General features: G+C 39.4%; 1 long non-coding RNA gene across 6 annotated transcripts in view, besides 1 other annotated feature; it reads right to left on the bottom strand.

Annotated features, from left to right (window-relative positions):
• LOC102723338 (uncharacterized) overlaps positions 1-16,738 on the bottom strand; it is a 55,402-nt gene that overhangs the window by 26,916 nt on the left and 11,748 nt on the right. For 4 of the 6 annotated variants that reach the window (XR_007058461.1, XR_007058458.1, XR_007058459.1 and 1 more), the window contains exon 3: positions 4,129-4,221. This is a non-coding gene — a long non-coding RNA (uncharacterized LOC102723338). Of the gene's footprint in view, positions 1-4,128; positions 4,222-7,952; positions 8,064-16,738 lie in introns of all 6 variants that reach the window. The other 2 variants (XR_007058460.1, XR_007058456.1) reach the window with 2 other exon arrangements.
• Positions 12,055-12,696: an enhancer, noted in NCBI's record as "OCT4-NANOG hESC enhancer chr4:85486943-85487584 (GRCh37/hg19 assembly coordinates)". NCBI's record gives its function as "activates a minimal SCP1, AML or CMV promoter by ChIP-STARR-seq in primed H9 embryonic stem cells {active_cell/tissue: H9 hESC(primed)}" and the evidence as "EXISTENCE:reporter gene assay evidence [ECO:0000049][PMID:30033119]".

Below are 16,738 nucleotides of genomic sequence, written 5' to 3' on the forward strand. Positions count from 1 at the left end.
TTACCACTGACCCCACAGAAATACAAACAACCATCAGAGAATACTATAAACACCTCTATGCACATGAAGTAGAAAAATCTAGAAGAAATGGATAAATTCCTGGACACATAAATCCTCCTAAGACTGAACCAGGAAGAAACAGAATCCTTGAATAGACCAATAATTGGTTCTGGAAATGAGGTAGTCTACAAGCCAAAAAAAAAAAGAAAAAAACCCAGAACCAGATATATTCACAGCTGAATTCTACCAGATTTACAAAGAAGAGTTGGTACCATTTCTACTGAAACTATGCCAAACAAAATTGAAAAGAAGGGACTCCTGCCTAACTGATTATGTGAAGCCAGCATCATCCTGATACCAAAACCTGGCAGAGATACAACAAAAAAAGAAAACTTCAAGCCAATATTCTTGATGAACATCAATGTAAAAATCCTCAGTAAATACTGGATAGTTAAATCCAGCAGTACATCAAAAAGCTTATCCACCGTTATCAAATTGGCTTCATCCTTGGGATTCAAGTTTGGTTCAACATACAAAAATCAATAAATGTGATTCATATTCATAACATAAACAGAACTAAACACAAAAACCCCACGATTATCTCAACAGATGCAGAAAAGGCCTTCAATAAAATTCAACATCCCTTCATGTTAAAAACTCTCAATAAACTAAGTGTTGAAGGAACGTACCTCAAAATAGTAAGAGCATGACAAACCCACAACCAATATCATACTAAATGGACAAAAGCTAGAAGACTTCCCCTTGAAAAACACCTCAAGACAGGGATGCCCTCTCTCACCACTCCTATTCAACAGAGTATTGGATGTTCTGGCCAGGGCAATCAGGCAAGAGAAAAAAGAAATAAAGGGCATTCAAATAGGAAAAGAGGAAGCCAAATTATCTTTGTTTTCAGGCGGGTGTGGTGACTCACGCCTGTAATCCCAGCACTTTGGGAGGACGAGGTGGGTGGATCACCTGAAGTCAGGAATTTAAGACCAGCCTGCCCAACATGGCAAAACTCCATCTCTACTAAAATATAAAAATTAGCCAGGCATGGTGGCGCATGCCTATACTCCCAGCTACTTGGGATGCTGAGGCAAGAGAATCACTTGAGCCTGGAAGCAAAGGTTGCAGTGAGCCAAGCTCATGCCACTGCACTCCAGCCTGGACAACAGAGTGAGACTCTATCTGAAAAAAATATATGTATCATTGTTTGCAGATGACATGATCCTATATCTAGAAAACCCCATCATCTCAGCTCAAAAAGCTTCTTAAACTGATAACTTGAGCAAAGTCTCAGGATATAAAATCAATGTGCAAAAATCACTAGCATTTCCATACAACAACAACTGGCAAGCAGAGAACCAAATCAGGAATGAACTCTCATTCACAATTGCTACTAACAGAATAAAATATATAGGAATACAGCTAACAAGGAACATGAAGGACCTCTTCAAGGATAACTATAAACCTCTGCTCAAAGAAATCAGAGATGACACAAACAAATGGAAAAACATTCCATCCTCATGGATAGGAAGAATAAATATTGTGAAAATGGCCACATTGCCCGAGGTAATTTATAGGTTTTATGCTATTCACATTAAACTACCATTGACATTCTTCACAGTATCAGAAAAAACCATTCTAAATTCATATGAACCAAAAAAAGAGCCCATATAGCCAAGGCAATCCTAAGCAAAAAGAACCAAGCTGGAGGCACCACACTACCTGGTTTTAAACTATACTACAAGGCTACAATAACCAAAACAACATAATACTGGTACAAGAGCAGACACATAGACGAATGGAACAGAATAGAAATCACAGAAATAAGACTACACACCTACAACCATCTGATCTTCTACAAACCTGACAAAAACAAGCAACAGGAAAGGGATTCCCTAATTAATAAATGGTACTAGGAGAGCTGGCTAGCCATATGCACAAAACTGAAACTGAACCCCTACCTTACACCTTATATAAAAATTAACTCAAGATGGATTACAGACTTAAAGTTAAAACCCAAAACCATAAAAACCCTAGAAGAAAATCTAGGCAATACCATTCAAGACATAGGCACAGGCAAAGATTTCATAAAGAAAACACCAAAAGCAATTGCAACAATAGCAAAAATTGACAAAGGGGATCTAATTAAACTAAAAAGCTTCTGCACAGCAAAAGAAACTATCATCAGAGTGAACACGCAACCTACGGAATGAGAGAAAAATTTTCCAATCTATCCATCTGACAAAGGTCTAATATCCAGAATCTATAAGAAACTCAAAGAAATTTACAAGAAAAAAAAAAAAAACCCATCAAAAAGTGGGCAAAGGACATGAACAGACACTTCTCAAAAGAAGACATACATGCAGCCAACAAATATATGAAAAAAAGCTCAACTTCACTGGTCATTAGAGAAATGAAAATCAAAACTGCAATAAGATGCCATCTCACAGGCTGGGTGCAGTGGCTCACTCCTGTAATCCTAGCACTTTGGGAGGCCAAGGTGGGCAGATCACCTGGGATCAGGAGTTCAAGACTAGCCTGGCCAACATGGTGAAACACCATCTCTACTAAAAATACAAAAATTAGCTGGGTGTGGTGGCGCATGCCTGTAATCCAACTACCTGGGAGGCTGAGGCAGGAGAATCGCTGAAACCCAGGAGGCGAAGGCTGCAGTGAGCCAAGGTCATGCCACTGCACTCCAGCCTGCATGACAGAGCGAGACTCTGTCTAAAAAAAAAAGATAACATCTCACAGCGGTCAGAGCGGCTATAAAAAAGGCAAAAAAGAACAGATACTGGTGAGGTTACAGAGAAAAAGGAATACTTTTACACTGTTAGTGGTAGTGTAAATCAGTTCAATCATTGTGAAAGACAGTGTGGTGATTCCTCAAAGACCTAAAAATAGAACTGCCATTCGACCCAGCAATCCCATTACTGGGTATATATCCAAAGACATATAAATCATTCTATTATAAAGAAACATTCACACATATGTTCATTGCAGCACTATTCACAATAGCAAAGACATGGACTCAACCTAAATGCCCATCAATGATTGACTGGATAAAGAAAATATGGTACATATAGACCATAGAATACTATGCAGTCACAAAAAGGAATGAGAACATGTCCTTTGCAGGGACATGGATGGAGTTGGAAGCCATTATCCTCAGCAAAACCAAATATCACATGTTCTCACTTATAAGTGGGAGGTGAATGGTGGAACACATGGAAACAGGGAGGGGAACAACACACACTGGGGCCTGTTGGAGGGGGGTGTGGGGAAAGGGAGAGAATCAGGAAGAATAGCTAATGGATGCCAGGCTTAATACCTACATGATGGGATGATCTGTGCAGCAAACCATCATGGCACACATTTACCTATGTAACAAACCTGCACATCCTGCACATGTACCACTGAACCTAAAATAAAAGTTGAAGAAAAAAAATTAAAAATTTCTGTCTCCTCTCTCTCCCTGTCTCTCTCTCTCTCTCTCTCACACACACACACACACACACATGCACACACATACACATACCCTATTTGTTCTGTTTCTCTGGACAACTCTGACTAATACAAACAGTAAGAGGTTTGCAGGTTATAACCTGGAAATAGCAATGTGGTAAGGGATAAGGGTAAAGAAAGAGCCTTCAAATGGGGAAATGTCTGGCTAAGCAGCTGATATATCTGCCATGGATTAGACACCCGCACAGACATCACATCAGTTCAGGCACCCTCCAGCTGGGACACAGGTTCTTACACCCGGGCTAAACCACTCATCTGCCATACAGCCAGCACACAGTAATAAGGGGAACACTGGGTGACTTGGCCCTGCTCACATCTAAAGCTCGATCTCTCCCAACTTGTTCCTGCTTTGTTTCTTGAATTTGTGTGTGTCAGCCTCTGATTTTATACCCATCCCTTGAAGCTCCTCAACATCACCATCATCTCTAACCTGATGAAGATTTAGTTTCTTCAGTTTAACACTTGGTGGTCCTCCATGAATGTGCTTTGCCATGTGTCCTCCAGCTTTACCAACTCTTGGCATTTCTTCAAACAGGTCTGGATCTCTAGCCCCTTCCCTAGAATGTCAACAATTCATTAAGGAGAGACCAATCTCACCTCATCTTGGCAACAGGGTCTTCCTTCACTACAGGCTTGTGAGGTCCTCTCAGTTCAAGGTTCTCATCTTCTCTTTGATAATACCTGTAGAGGCTTCATAAAGGAAACAAAAGTATTATTTGTAAAGAGCAGAACCTACAAAAAGGCGTTAATAAAATAAAACTTACTAGACAGCTAACTAAAGTATAAATACATACAAAACTAACAACATAAAACATTAAAATATGGCTACACTCATTTTACTGATGAGAAAAACGAGGCTCAGAATGTTCTCCAAGAGATGCCCAAAGCACCACAGCTGGGTTCTATATCCATACTGGTTATCAGATTTCAGAGCACATAGTCTTTTAAAATTTTTTTTCTTTTTCTTTTATTTTATTGTAAGCTGTGGGACACATGTGCAGGATGTGCAGGTTTGTTACATAGGTAAACATGCACCATGGTGGTTTGCTGCACCTATCAACCCATCGCCTAGGTATTATCCTGATGCTCTCCCTCCCCCGCCCCCATACCAATAGGCCCCTGTGTGTGTTGTTCCCCTCCCTGTGTCCATGTGTTCTCATTATTCAGCTCCCGCTTATAAGTGAGAACATGCACTGTTTTGTTTTCTGTTCCTGCATTAGTTTGCTGAGGATAATGGCTTTGAGGTCCATCCATCCCTGCAAAAGACATTATCTCATGTGCACGTTCTGCACATGTATCCCAGAACTTAAATTATAATTTTAAAAAAAATGGGCCAAAGACCTTAACAGATACCTCCCAAAGAAGAGCTATAGATGGCAAATAAGCATATGAAAAGATGTTCCACATCATATGTAATCATTAAATTAAATGAAATTAAACAACAACGAGATAGCCCTATACACTTATTAGAATGGTCAAAATCCAGAACACTAACGCCGGGGATGACTGATTGAATAAAAGGGCAGTGAGAGAGAAGGAGATGTCAAGGTAAAGAGACAAAGAGCTGGTCATCTTAGTTGGAGAACAGAATCTAGCAGTCTACATAAACGTAATGAAAATTGAGTGCCAATCATATGTGAAACATTTTCTGAAATCTTTTACAACCTTGGAAAGTAGATATTATTATCTCTATTTTTTAAGAGAGTATGCTGAGGCTCAAAAAGATTCTGCACTGTCTACTATGGCAGCCACTGGCCATAAGTGACAATTTATTTTTCAATTTTATTTAAATTAAATAAGACCAAGAATCAAGTTCATCATTAGCACTAGCCCCACTGCAAGGGCTCAGTAGCCACATATGGTTAGTGGCTGCCATATTGGACAGTGCTGTTCTAGAACATTTCCATTATAGCAAAAGTGCTATTGGACAGCCTGGTGTAAATAAATTAGCCTAATCCTGTGGCTGGTAAGTCATGGAGCTGTGGTTTAAGAGAAGATTTGTTTCACTGCAAAGCCCACTCTTTCCACTAGAAGGAGAATGAGCCCAAAGGTGTAGCTTGATTCTGAGCTGAAGGTGTTCTACATGAGGATGTGCTAAGGATGGCCTGATCTGGCCAGAACCAATCTGAGAATGCACATGAATGAGTTTAAGCCTTTAGGGGTCAAGCAGGTAGCTCTGGTTGAAATGGGAGCTGATGTTGTAGGAAATAAACAACTACTAATTTGTTGACTTGGTCTACCCACAGTGAGCATATGATTTATAGTCCACTTTTGAGTGTAAAAGGGAGTACCATTCATAATTACACGACAAAACAGGCATAAACCAGGATCGCACTAAGAACATGTGTTCACTCCCCAATTAGGTACCATGCATGTCGCAAATATACGAAAGTCATTTTAAATTTACCGTCATTTTTTCCAATTCTTATGTAATTATTCTTTTGGAATCAAGACTAAAAAAATTAAAAACCCAAATTCTTCATTGCTCAATGAACAATGAATAACTTTACTAATTAAAAGTATAACAAGGACGGGCGCTGTGGCTCACGTCTGTAATCCCAGCACTTTGGGAGGCCGAGGTGGGCAGATTACAAGGTCAGGAGTTCAAGAGCAGCCTGGCCAATATGGTGAAACCCTGTCTCTACTAAAAATACAAAAATTAGCCAGGCGTGGTGGTGGGTGCCTATAGTCCCAGCTACTCGGGAGGCTGAGGCAGGAGAATCTCTAGAACCCAGGAGGCGGAGGTTGCAATGAGCCGAGATTGTGCCACTGTACTCCAGCCTGAGGGACACAGTGAGACTCGGTCTCAAAAAAAAAAAATAATAATGTAACAAGCATCTTTTTTATATTATTAACCCCACCCCCATGAAAAAGTCTTCAAAAAGTGACCAAGAAAATGTGCCACTGATAAATGATGTTCAAATGAAAAGAAAATACATTATGATCTTTGCCCAGCAATACAACTTGTTAGCTGAGTGATCTTGGACAATTCACTCAACTTTTTCATACCTCAGTTTTCTCACTTGTAAAATTAATTTCCTATTGATGCATAACAAATGAGCATGGTGGCACATGCTTATAATCACAGCACTTTGGGAAGCTGAGGCAGGAGGATTGCTATAGCTAAGAGTTTGCGACCAGCCAGGGCAACATAGGAAGATCTTGTCTCTACAAAATATAAAAATAAATAGGCTCACTCAGGAGGTGGGAGGATGACTTGAGCCTGGGAGGCAGAGGTTACAGTGAGCCAAGATCACACACTGCACTCCAGCCTGGGCGACAAAGCCAGACGCTGTCTCAGTAAATAAATAAATAAATAAGCCAGAAGTGGTGGCTTGTGCCTGTGCCCCCACTTACTTGGAAGGCTAAGGTGGAAGGATCGCTTGAGCCCAGGAGGGAGCTATGATCATGCTACTGCACTCCAGCCTGGCCAACAGAGTGAGACACTGTCTCAAAAACACAAAAAAAACAAAAACAAAAAAACCTCCAAATTATCCCAGGATTTACGTGCAGTTTAACTAGGCAGATCTGGCTCAGGGTCTCTAATCAGGAAGTGTTTGAGTGATGGTGTGAATCCCTCATGAATGGCTTGGTGCATGGCTCAGTAGCGAGTTAGCTCTTGCTGTCTCGAGAATGGATTAGTTCCCAAGAAGGTGGTTATTAAAAAGAGTCTGGCTTCTTTGGTTTTGTTCTCTTGCCTCCTTTCTCGCATGTCACTTCTTTGTATACACCTACTTCTTCCACTTTCTGCCAGGAGTGGAAGCAGCCTGGGGCTCTCACAAGATGCAGCTGCCTAATCCTGGATTTCCAGTCACCAGAACTATAAGCCAAATAAACAATTTTTCTTTATAAATTACCCCATCTTAGGTATTCTGTTATAGCAACACAAAATGGACTCAGATAGGGATGTAAGAATGAAAGAAAAAAGGTAAAGAGATATACTTTACACTATTTGAACACATTTCATTTAGTTGAAAATTTAACTGAAAACAATGCCCCAAAAAGAGATTCAATGAAGCCTAGGCATGTCTCCTTTTGAAGTGCTCCCTTTTGAATGAGCACACCTGCTTTGCGGCAGAAGCAAAAAGAGAGCATGGCCTTCTAATTCCCATTCCAGGGTTCATGTGCCTCGTGCCAGCAGGGCAAATGTGACCACTTACTTAATGCCTGGCTGCCTCAGTGTCCTTATCTACAAAATACCAACAATATGAACGCTTACCTTGTTAAGGCTGTTGTGAAGATTAAATTAGACAAGGAGTTTAAGTTAACATTCAAAAAAATTTTCTTCTGATTATATTATCCGTCATTGCAAACATGAAAAGAACAAATGGGGTCTTTTCTTAGCTAGGAAATGTGTGGCCTGGCTTATTTCTAAGCCTGATATCCGTTCCACTGTAGGGACAGATGAGCAAAGATCTTACCTGGGTCACTCACATGGAGTGGGGCTTTAAGAAGAGGGTTAAGGCCAAGACAAGAAAACAGGTCCAATGCGAGTCTTCAATCTAAAGGAATCTAAGAAAACCAGGAGGCATCTTCGAAGACAAAGAGAAGATAAGCCGATTCAAGGAGACAAAAAGGAGATTGATTTGTATTCATTCCTGAGATGAAGGCACCACTCTCTGAGATGGTTTTTTTACATATTTCCCACATATCCTTTAGTGGAAAAGTTTTAAATTTTCAAATTTCATTATATTCGCATTCTTTTTGTTTGGACATAAATAATGGATGTAATGTACAATATACTGATTTTAACTTTGAGTTGAAATTTTAAAAAGTGATTTGCAGTTCTAACTATACAACATCCTGGAAGAGACAAAACTATAGGAACAGTGAAAGATTAGTGACTATCAGCGGTTGTGGGGAGGGAGGCATGAATAGGCAGAAGGATTTTAAGGGCAGTCAAACTGTTGCATATGATACTAAATGGTGAATACTTGTCATTATACATTTGCCATAATCCATATAACAAAGAACTCCAAGAGCGAGCCCCAATTTAAACTACTGAGTTGCATCGATAATTATGTACCCAATGCCGGTTCATCAGTTGTGACAAATGTACCAATCGGGTGCAGGATGTTAACAGCGGAGGAGGATGTGCATGTGTGGGGGCAGTGGGTGTGTGGGAATTCTGTACCTCCTGCTCAGTTTTGCAGTGTACCTAAAATTGCTTTAAATAGTAAAATCTATTTTTAAAAGTGACTTCTCTTTTCAAACTTTTATTATGAAATGTTTCAAAATTACAAAAGAAGAAAGAACAAAATGAACCCATTAAGCCCATTTCAATAATTATCGACATGTGGTCAATCTTGTTTAATCTATACACCCACTCATTTCCCTCCAACCCCTCCACTGGGTTATTTGGAAGCAAATCTGTCTTATCAAACCATTTCATCAAATCAGGTTCATTTCAAGGAACTGAGAAAGACTAGAACTAAGTGTCAGCCAGGGACTCACTGTAACAGCTCTCCAAAGGCCTCTCCATTTTCCTTATTATGCAATAATAGCCAAAAATAAATGTTGTAATAATTTCAGTCCATAATTAGTCACCTAAACTAATCATGTAAATTAGTTGAACATGAATTTTTTTATTATATTTTGCCTTTAGATTTCTTCCTCTTCTGAGTAAATATTTTTGGATAATTTTTCCCTAAATCCATAATATCTCCATCTTTCCCAACCACCAAATTTAATTTTATCCATGCCCTCTAAGCAAAATGTCTTTGTAAAAAATGAGAAATACCATGACCTCTGTACTGAGAAAGTCAATAACTTACAAAAGCTCTAGAAGACACAAACTGAAACACCACAAAAGTAATATCTATGACCGTTTACCAAGCTTTAAGAAGTAAGTAAAACCCTTGCCTTCATATTTTCTTCAGAACCAGGACATCCTTTATGGGCAGGGTTCTCACTGACTACTCAAGGGAGCTATTATGAGACACAGCTTGGCTAACAGTCCCGGAATGCTGAATTTCTGGATCTATTGAGATAATCATGTGGTTTTTGTCATTGCTTCTGTTTATATGATGGATTACGTTTATTGATTTGCATATGTTGAACCAGCCTTATATCCCAGGGATGAAGTTGACTTGATCATGGTGGATAAGCTTTTGGATGTGCTGCTGGATTCGGTTTGCCAGTATTTTATTGAGGATTTTTGCATCGATGTTCATCAGGGATATTGGCCTGAAATTTTCTTTTTTTCTTGTGTCTCTGCCAGGTTTTGGTATCGGGATGATGCTGGTCTCATAAAATGAGTTAAGGAGGAGTCCCTCTTTTTCTGTTGTTTTGGATCGTTTCAGAGGAATTCTAAGAATTCTTAGCATGGAAAACAGGCTGAATGGGTGATACTCAGTCATGGTTTACTAAATTATGTTAACCTTTTAACTTGTAAGTATTTATGAAATGTTTCTGCATAGATGTCACATTAATAAGAATAGTTTCATATAAGGCTCAGATTGATTTGTATTTTAATGTCTTTCTGGATTTTTATCCATATTTAACAAATATGCATAATCAAACATAAGCACTTTAGACTAGACCATAATTACTGAATATTTTACTAATATCTGTGATTTTTAAAATATTACTCCCCTATAATAAGATGAAAAACTAACGAGTGCAAATACATATTCGCATGCTTTGAAAGTCAGTAGGTATATTTACCTTGTATTAATCAGTCTTGGGTTTTGCACATAGCATATCTTATTAAAGGAAATAGCACCTGAGAATATTGTAAGCTACCTAAGGGAAGGACCATGCCTGTTTTGTTCACCTAGAAGCTGTGAATTTTAAGAGAATGGGCTTTAACACTAAACTGCCTGTGTCCTGCTGACGTTTTCTAAGAAAGTGCCCTTGGGCAAGATATTCAACCTCTCCTTGCTTTGATTCCTCATCTGTAAAATAGATAATGATTACTGAAGTACCCATGCATAAGAGTGTTGTGAGGGTTGAATGACTGATATGCAAAGCTCTGGGAAAAGGATGGCACAAATTAAGACTAGCTGTTCTTCACGGCTGTATCCACCAGGCTCAGAGTAAATATTTGTTGTCTAAATAAATAAATGACAAAGAATCAATTCCTTTTATTTCTCTTTTGGACTTGTTAATGGGTATAAACTATAAGGCAATTCCATGGTACTGATATAATAGGTACTCTTAACTGTCAAAAAGTATAAAAACATTGTATCTATCAGAGCAAAAGAAGCCACGTTAGGAAAGTCACACACCAGCATACATATTCTATCCATCACAATTGCAATTGTGTTTTGTTTCTAATCAGATATCTTTAATAGCTTTTATACATAAGAAAAGGGGTCTGGGCTGGGCATGGTGGCTCACACCTGTAATCCCAGCACTTTGGGAGGCCGAGTGGGGGCAGATTAGTTGAGCTCAGGAGTTCCAGATCAGCCTGGTCAACATTGTGAAACCCTGTCTCTACTAAAAATAGAAAAATTAGCCAGGTATGGGGGCACGTGCCTGTAATCTCAGCTACTCTGAAGGCTGAAGCAGTAGAATCGCTTGAATCCAGGAGGCAGAGGTTGCAGTGAGCCAAGATCATACCACTGCGCTCCAGCCTGGGTGACAGAACCAGACCCTGTCTCAAAAAAAAGGGGGGGGGAGGGGATCTGAACTTAGTAGAGTACTGCAGAAAGTGAAAAAGTGAGTAACAAGAGAAAAGTAGGTTATGTGAAGAATAACCAGATATTTGAAACTAAAAACGAGAGGCCTTGGGAGGGACTTTGAATAGCTATGTGCCTGATTTAAATAAATACAAAAATCACAGAATTGACCATCATTTTTAATTAGATAGATATAGCCAGTGAATACTCAAATTCACTGTGAAACCAGATAGTCATGAGCCACCCAGACTCAAATTATAACATTGTCTTAGTCTACTTGATCTGTTATAAGAAAATACCATAAACTAAGTAGCTTATAATAGAAATTCATTGCCGTAGTTCTGGAGACTGGGAAGTTCAAGATCAAAGCAGATTCTACATCTGGGGAGGAACTGTGTTCTGGCTCTAGGTGGCACCTTCTTGCTCTGTCCTCACATGCTGGAAAGGGCAAAGAGGATCCCTTGAGCCTCTTTTATATGTGCACAAATCTCATTATCAAGTGCTTCATCCCCAAAACGTAATCACCTCCTAATGGTCCCATCTCCTAATACCATCACCTTTCGGGTGAGGATTTCAACATATGAGTTTGGGGGGACATAAACATTCGGACCATAGCAAACATAAATATAATTTTGTTGAGTGTTAGATATATCTGCGTGTCCCATTCTCTGGAAAATGTGGGCATCCTGTCTCCTGCTGCTCATAGTATCAGAATATTCAGAAAGTACAGTTTATAAATATCTCCAGGAGAGTTAAAATGGACCAAAATTCCAGAGACAACATTTTGTACCATTTCTCATTTTGTGCCATTAATTGCTAGCTTGAATTAATTAAAATACCAAATAGAGAACAGCTGACGGAATTCACAGTCTGGTAGAGTTGCCAGATAAAATACAAGACGTCTAGTGAAATTTTGAAATGGCTCCATTGTCTGGGGTAAATAGCCAGGGTTCATTGTCTCGCGCCAGGAAAACTTAGGACGCGGACACACATGAGGAGCGGGTTTAGGAGTGGAAAGTTTAATAGACAAAGAAGAGGAGAAAGAAAGTTTCCTCATTGTTGAGAAAGCGGTCGCCCAAAACAGTTTCCAGGTTGGGGTGAGATTTGACTGATTTTATACAGAGGCTTGAGGAGGCACTGATTGATTTACATAAGGCCCAGGGGATTGGTTTGACCAGGTGTGCCATTTACATAGCTTGCAGAAGACTGGCCCTCCCATCATGATCTTTTATTAAGCAAATGTGGCTTCTACCTGCCTGTCTGGCTGTCACCTGCCTGTCTGGCTGTCACCATGACATCTGCATATGTGGCTTTATCTGGCCGGTGCCATGATACCCACACATGTGGTGACAAAGAAAAGGGAGCAGGGATCACCATATTGAATATACCTGGCTTCCAGGTACACCTGCCGACATTTACATATGCAAGCTTCTAGCTTGCATATCTATGCTTGCAACTTGACTTTTCAGGCTGCTTTCTGTTAGAAAAGAAATGGTTTGGGGCTGCTTTTTATTAAAGGGAAATTTCACTGAGAACCCTTTTACCCTCTGTAACTGCCTAAGATAATTTCTTAATAACTCCTGTATTAATTTCAGTTTCAAATAAACAGTGAATATTTATTTTTAATATAAGTATGTTCCAAATACTACATGGGACATACTTATGCTAAACAAATTATCTGTGGTTTTACTGAAATTCAATTTCAACTGGGCATCCTGTATTTTTATCTGCTCCACCTGGCAAGCCTACATTCTGGTTATAATAAACACATAAACTTCCATTTTTACCACTGCTCGCCTAACCATTCATAGGTGGCATTTCTCACCTAAGAAGCAATGAGAAATATTTAATATTTGTCTTGACTTTCATCAGAGAGAAAAGAAATGAGAAAGGACAGAAGAAAATTTTACCTACATGATTAACATTTTTGCCATATTAGGGCAGTCAGCGATTTTCCACTTATAATTAAAATCTGCTCAACTGAGACTACTGGGCCCTTCAGAAACTCCAAGTTCTTTTCTATGGTTGAGAAGAAAAAGTTGGGGATGGCAGGGGGAAGATGGCAGGTAATCATGAAATGGATATGATTTTCTCAGAGACTAAGACTGCAAGGTGGACACAGAGCAGAGAGAGAAGGTATAAGATATATCTAACAGAGGTTAAGATAGTGGCTTTCAGATCCAGCAATTCCACTACTAGGTGTATATAAAAAGGAAATGAAATCAGTTTGTTGAAGAGACATCTGCACTATGTTTATTGCAGTACTATTCACGATAGCCAAAATATGGAATCAATGGATGAATGGATAAAGGAAATGTGATATCTGTACATAATGGAATACTATTTAGCCTTAATACAGAAGGAAATTCTAGCATTTGCAACAACATGGATGAAACAGGGACGTTATGTTAAATGAACTGAACCGCACACAGGAAGACAAATACTGCATGATCTCACTTATATGTGAATCTAAAAAAAAAACAAGGTCAGGTGCAGTAGCTGATGCCTATAATCCCAACACTTTGAGAGGTTGAGGTGGGCAGATCACTTGAGACCAGGAGTTTGAGACTAGCCTGGGCAACATAGCAAAACCCCATCTCTAGTAAAAACACACACACACAAAAAAAAATTAGCTGGACTTGGTGGTGCATGCCTGTAATCCCAGCTATTGGGGAGACTGAGGCACAAGAATGGCTTGAACCCAGGAGACAGAGGTTGCAGTGAGTCAAGATTGCACCACTGCACTTGAGCCTGGGCAACATAGAGAGACTCTGTCTGAAAATCAACAACAACAAAAACAATGAACTCATAAAAGCAGAGAGTAGAATGATGGTTACCAGCAGCTGGGGTCATGGAGAAGAGAGGTTGGGGAGATGCTGATCAAAAGATAGAAAATTTCAGTTAGATACGAGGAATAAGTTAAAGAGATCTACTGTAGGAAACAAAAAGACTGGATGTTTTTTAACTGCTAAAATGGAAAGATGGCTTTTTCTCCCTCTTAAACATTTTTTTTTGTATAAATTCTGGAATAAACTGACAGGGTTCTAATTCCAATTCCATTATTTCACAAATGTATGGTCTTGGGTGAGTCATGTAACACCTCCTTACACCTTGGTTTGGGAACAGTAGATCTGAAAATTGTGTCAGAATTCAGTAAGTATAAAAAGGCACTTAACAGAGCCTGGGACACAATAAAGATTATATAACTATCAGCCATTTTATCTAAACTTTGGCTTCTCAAATGCATCCTATAGAGTACTTACAGGTGGTGATCCTACAGTCCAGCTAATCTTGATATGATTACTTGCTGTATGACTCTAGACAAATTATCTAACCTCGATAAACTATGTCCATCAGTGAGGACAGGTGAAATAACAGTATTTTGATCATATGGTTTTTGAGAATTTTAACTGAAATAATGCATGTCACTATTAAAGGCTTATAAATGTTAGCAGCTGTTGTTGAACATTTTTCTTCTTTGGCTTCCATAATGTTATAACATTCAGATTCTCTACTTACCTCTCCATCTTTTTTTTTTTTTTTTTTTTTTTTGCTTATTACCATTCCTGGATTCCCACACTTCTCCCTGCCCCACTCAGTCAGCCCTTTGCACTCTCATTCTTTGAATAATAGTTTCCAGTTGCTGCTTCAGCCCCCACCTCTATGCTGGCAATTCCTAAGTCTTCTATCTGCAGTCTTCGTTTCTCCACTTGTACCACAGTCTCACACAACTCCCACGACCTGAATGTGTTTACTTCAGTGTTGCATTATCCTCTCCAAACTTCCATGTCCAAAAAAATTCTCAGCTCCCACAGCTGCTAATTCCTTTGGGGGTTGGGAGGAATGAGCAACTCTTTTCAATTTCCCTGCTGTTGGCAAACACAGACATTCTCTAGTAGTCCCCGAGATCAAAGCCTTGGAGTCATCTTTGCCACATCTATTTCTATCATCCTTCATGTCCCATCAGTCACCAAAATACTAGACCACCTACCACACACCAGGGAAAGAGAAGTAAAAAGAAAATCCGTGAAAACAAAAACAAAACAAACATCTTTTCAAAGACACATCTGACAGGAAAACACAATTTGTATTATTTAAAATTATTCCCCTTTTCCCATACAAACACCCTATCTGCCCTTCTCAAGAGGATGGATGTTGGTTGGTAATTGAGGTATCTTTGCTTGCTGAGAATAGTCAACTTCAGGATAAAGGCTTTTGCATATTTGAAATAGTAAGAGTAGGAAGCACAATTGAGACAGCTGGGATGCGCTAAATTGTGCCATGGAAAAAGGAAGAGAAATGGGGTCAAGTGGGTGGAGGATGGGAGGTGGAGATGCTGCAAGGCAAGGCTGAGGAGAACATGGCAGCAACAGGTAGCTGAAGATAAACTGTGGGAGAAAACAAAAGTACTTCCCACAAACTCTTGCAGTAAGAATGGGACCTGGCTGAATCCTGGCTGTACCATTTAGCACCTGCAAGACAGCAAGCAAATCCTTCGACTTAATGCCTCAGTTTCCTTGTTTGTAAAATGGGGAAAATAATAGTGTCTACGTCAAAGAGTTCTTCTGATGATTATATGAGCTCAAGTAAAGAACTTGGCATGGTGCCTGGTCTATAATAAGTGCATATATTAATACTAAATCATTTATTATTAAGAATTCTTTGAGGAGTAGATTTGTCTGTAGGAGATGTGACAAAGTGCTGAAGTACAGAGTTTTGTTCTGGTTGATAGGGGACTTTTTCAAAAAATAGAGGTTTCATTTGAATAAGAATGACGTCAAGTTACAAACGTTTTAAAAGAGAATGACTCGGTTGGGTGTGGTGGCTCATGCCTGTAATCCCAGCACTTTGGAATGCCAAAGTGGACAGACCACCCGAGGTCCGGAGTTCGAGACCAGCCTGACCAACATGGCAAAACCCTGTCTCTATTAAAAATGCAAAATTAGCCGAGCGTGGTGGCACATACTTGTAATCCTAGCTACTCGGGAGGCTGAGGCAGGAGAATCGCTTGAACCCGGGAGGCGGAAATTGCGGTGAGCAGATACTAGGCCATTGTACTCCAGCCTGGGCAACAAAAGCGAGACTCTGTCTCAAAAAAAAAAAAAAAAAAGGATGACTCAGCAAATTTCATTCCCAGGTATATATGCAAGAAAAATGAGTGCAAGTCCACCAGAAGACACATTTATGAATGCTTACAGTAGCTTTATGAATAATATCCCCAAACCAGAAACAATGCCAATGTTCATTTACACCAGGATGAATAAGTAAACTTTGGTTTATTTATACAATTTATACCATACATCATTGAAAAATATGAAATATATAAAAGGAACTATTGCTACACACATTACGTGGATGAAACTCATAGATGATTAAAATAAATCAGATGTAAATGAGCACATACTGTATGATTCTGTTTATATAAAGTCCAAGAAATAAAGAAATCTTTGGTGACAGAAGTTAGGATAGTAGCTACCTCTGCAGAAAGAGGGGAACCAGTATAGACTGGCAAGGGCACTGAGGGAGCATTCCCGGGCAATGGAAATATTTTAGACCTTGATCTGGGATGCTGGTTTCACGGGTGT

Source organism: Homo sapiens, chromosome 4, assembly GCF_000001405.40.
Source record: "Homo sapiens chromosome 4, GRCh38.p14 Primary Assembly".
In the NCBI taxonomy this organism is placed as follows: Eukaryota; Metazoa; Chordata; class Mammalia; order Primates; family Hominidae; genus Homo; species Homo sapiens.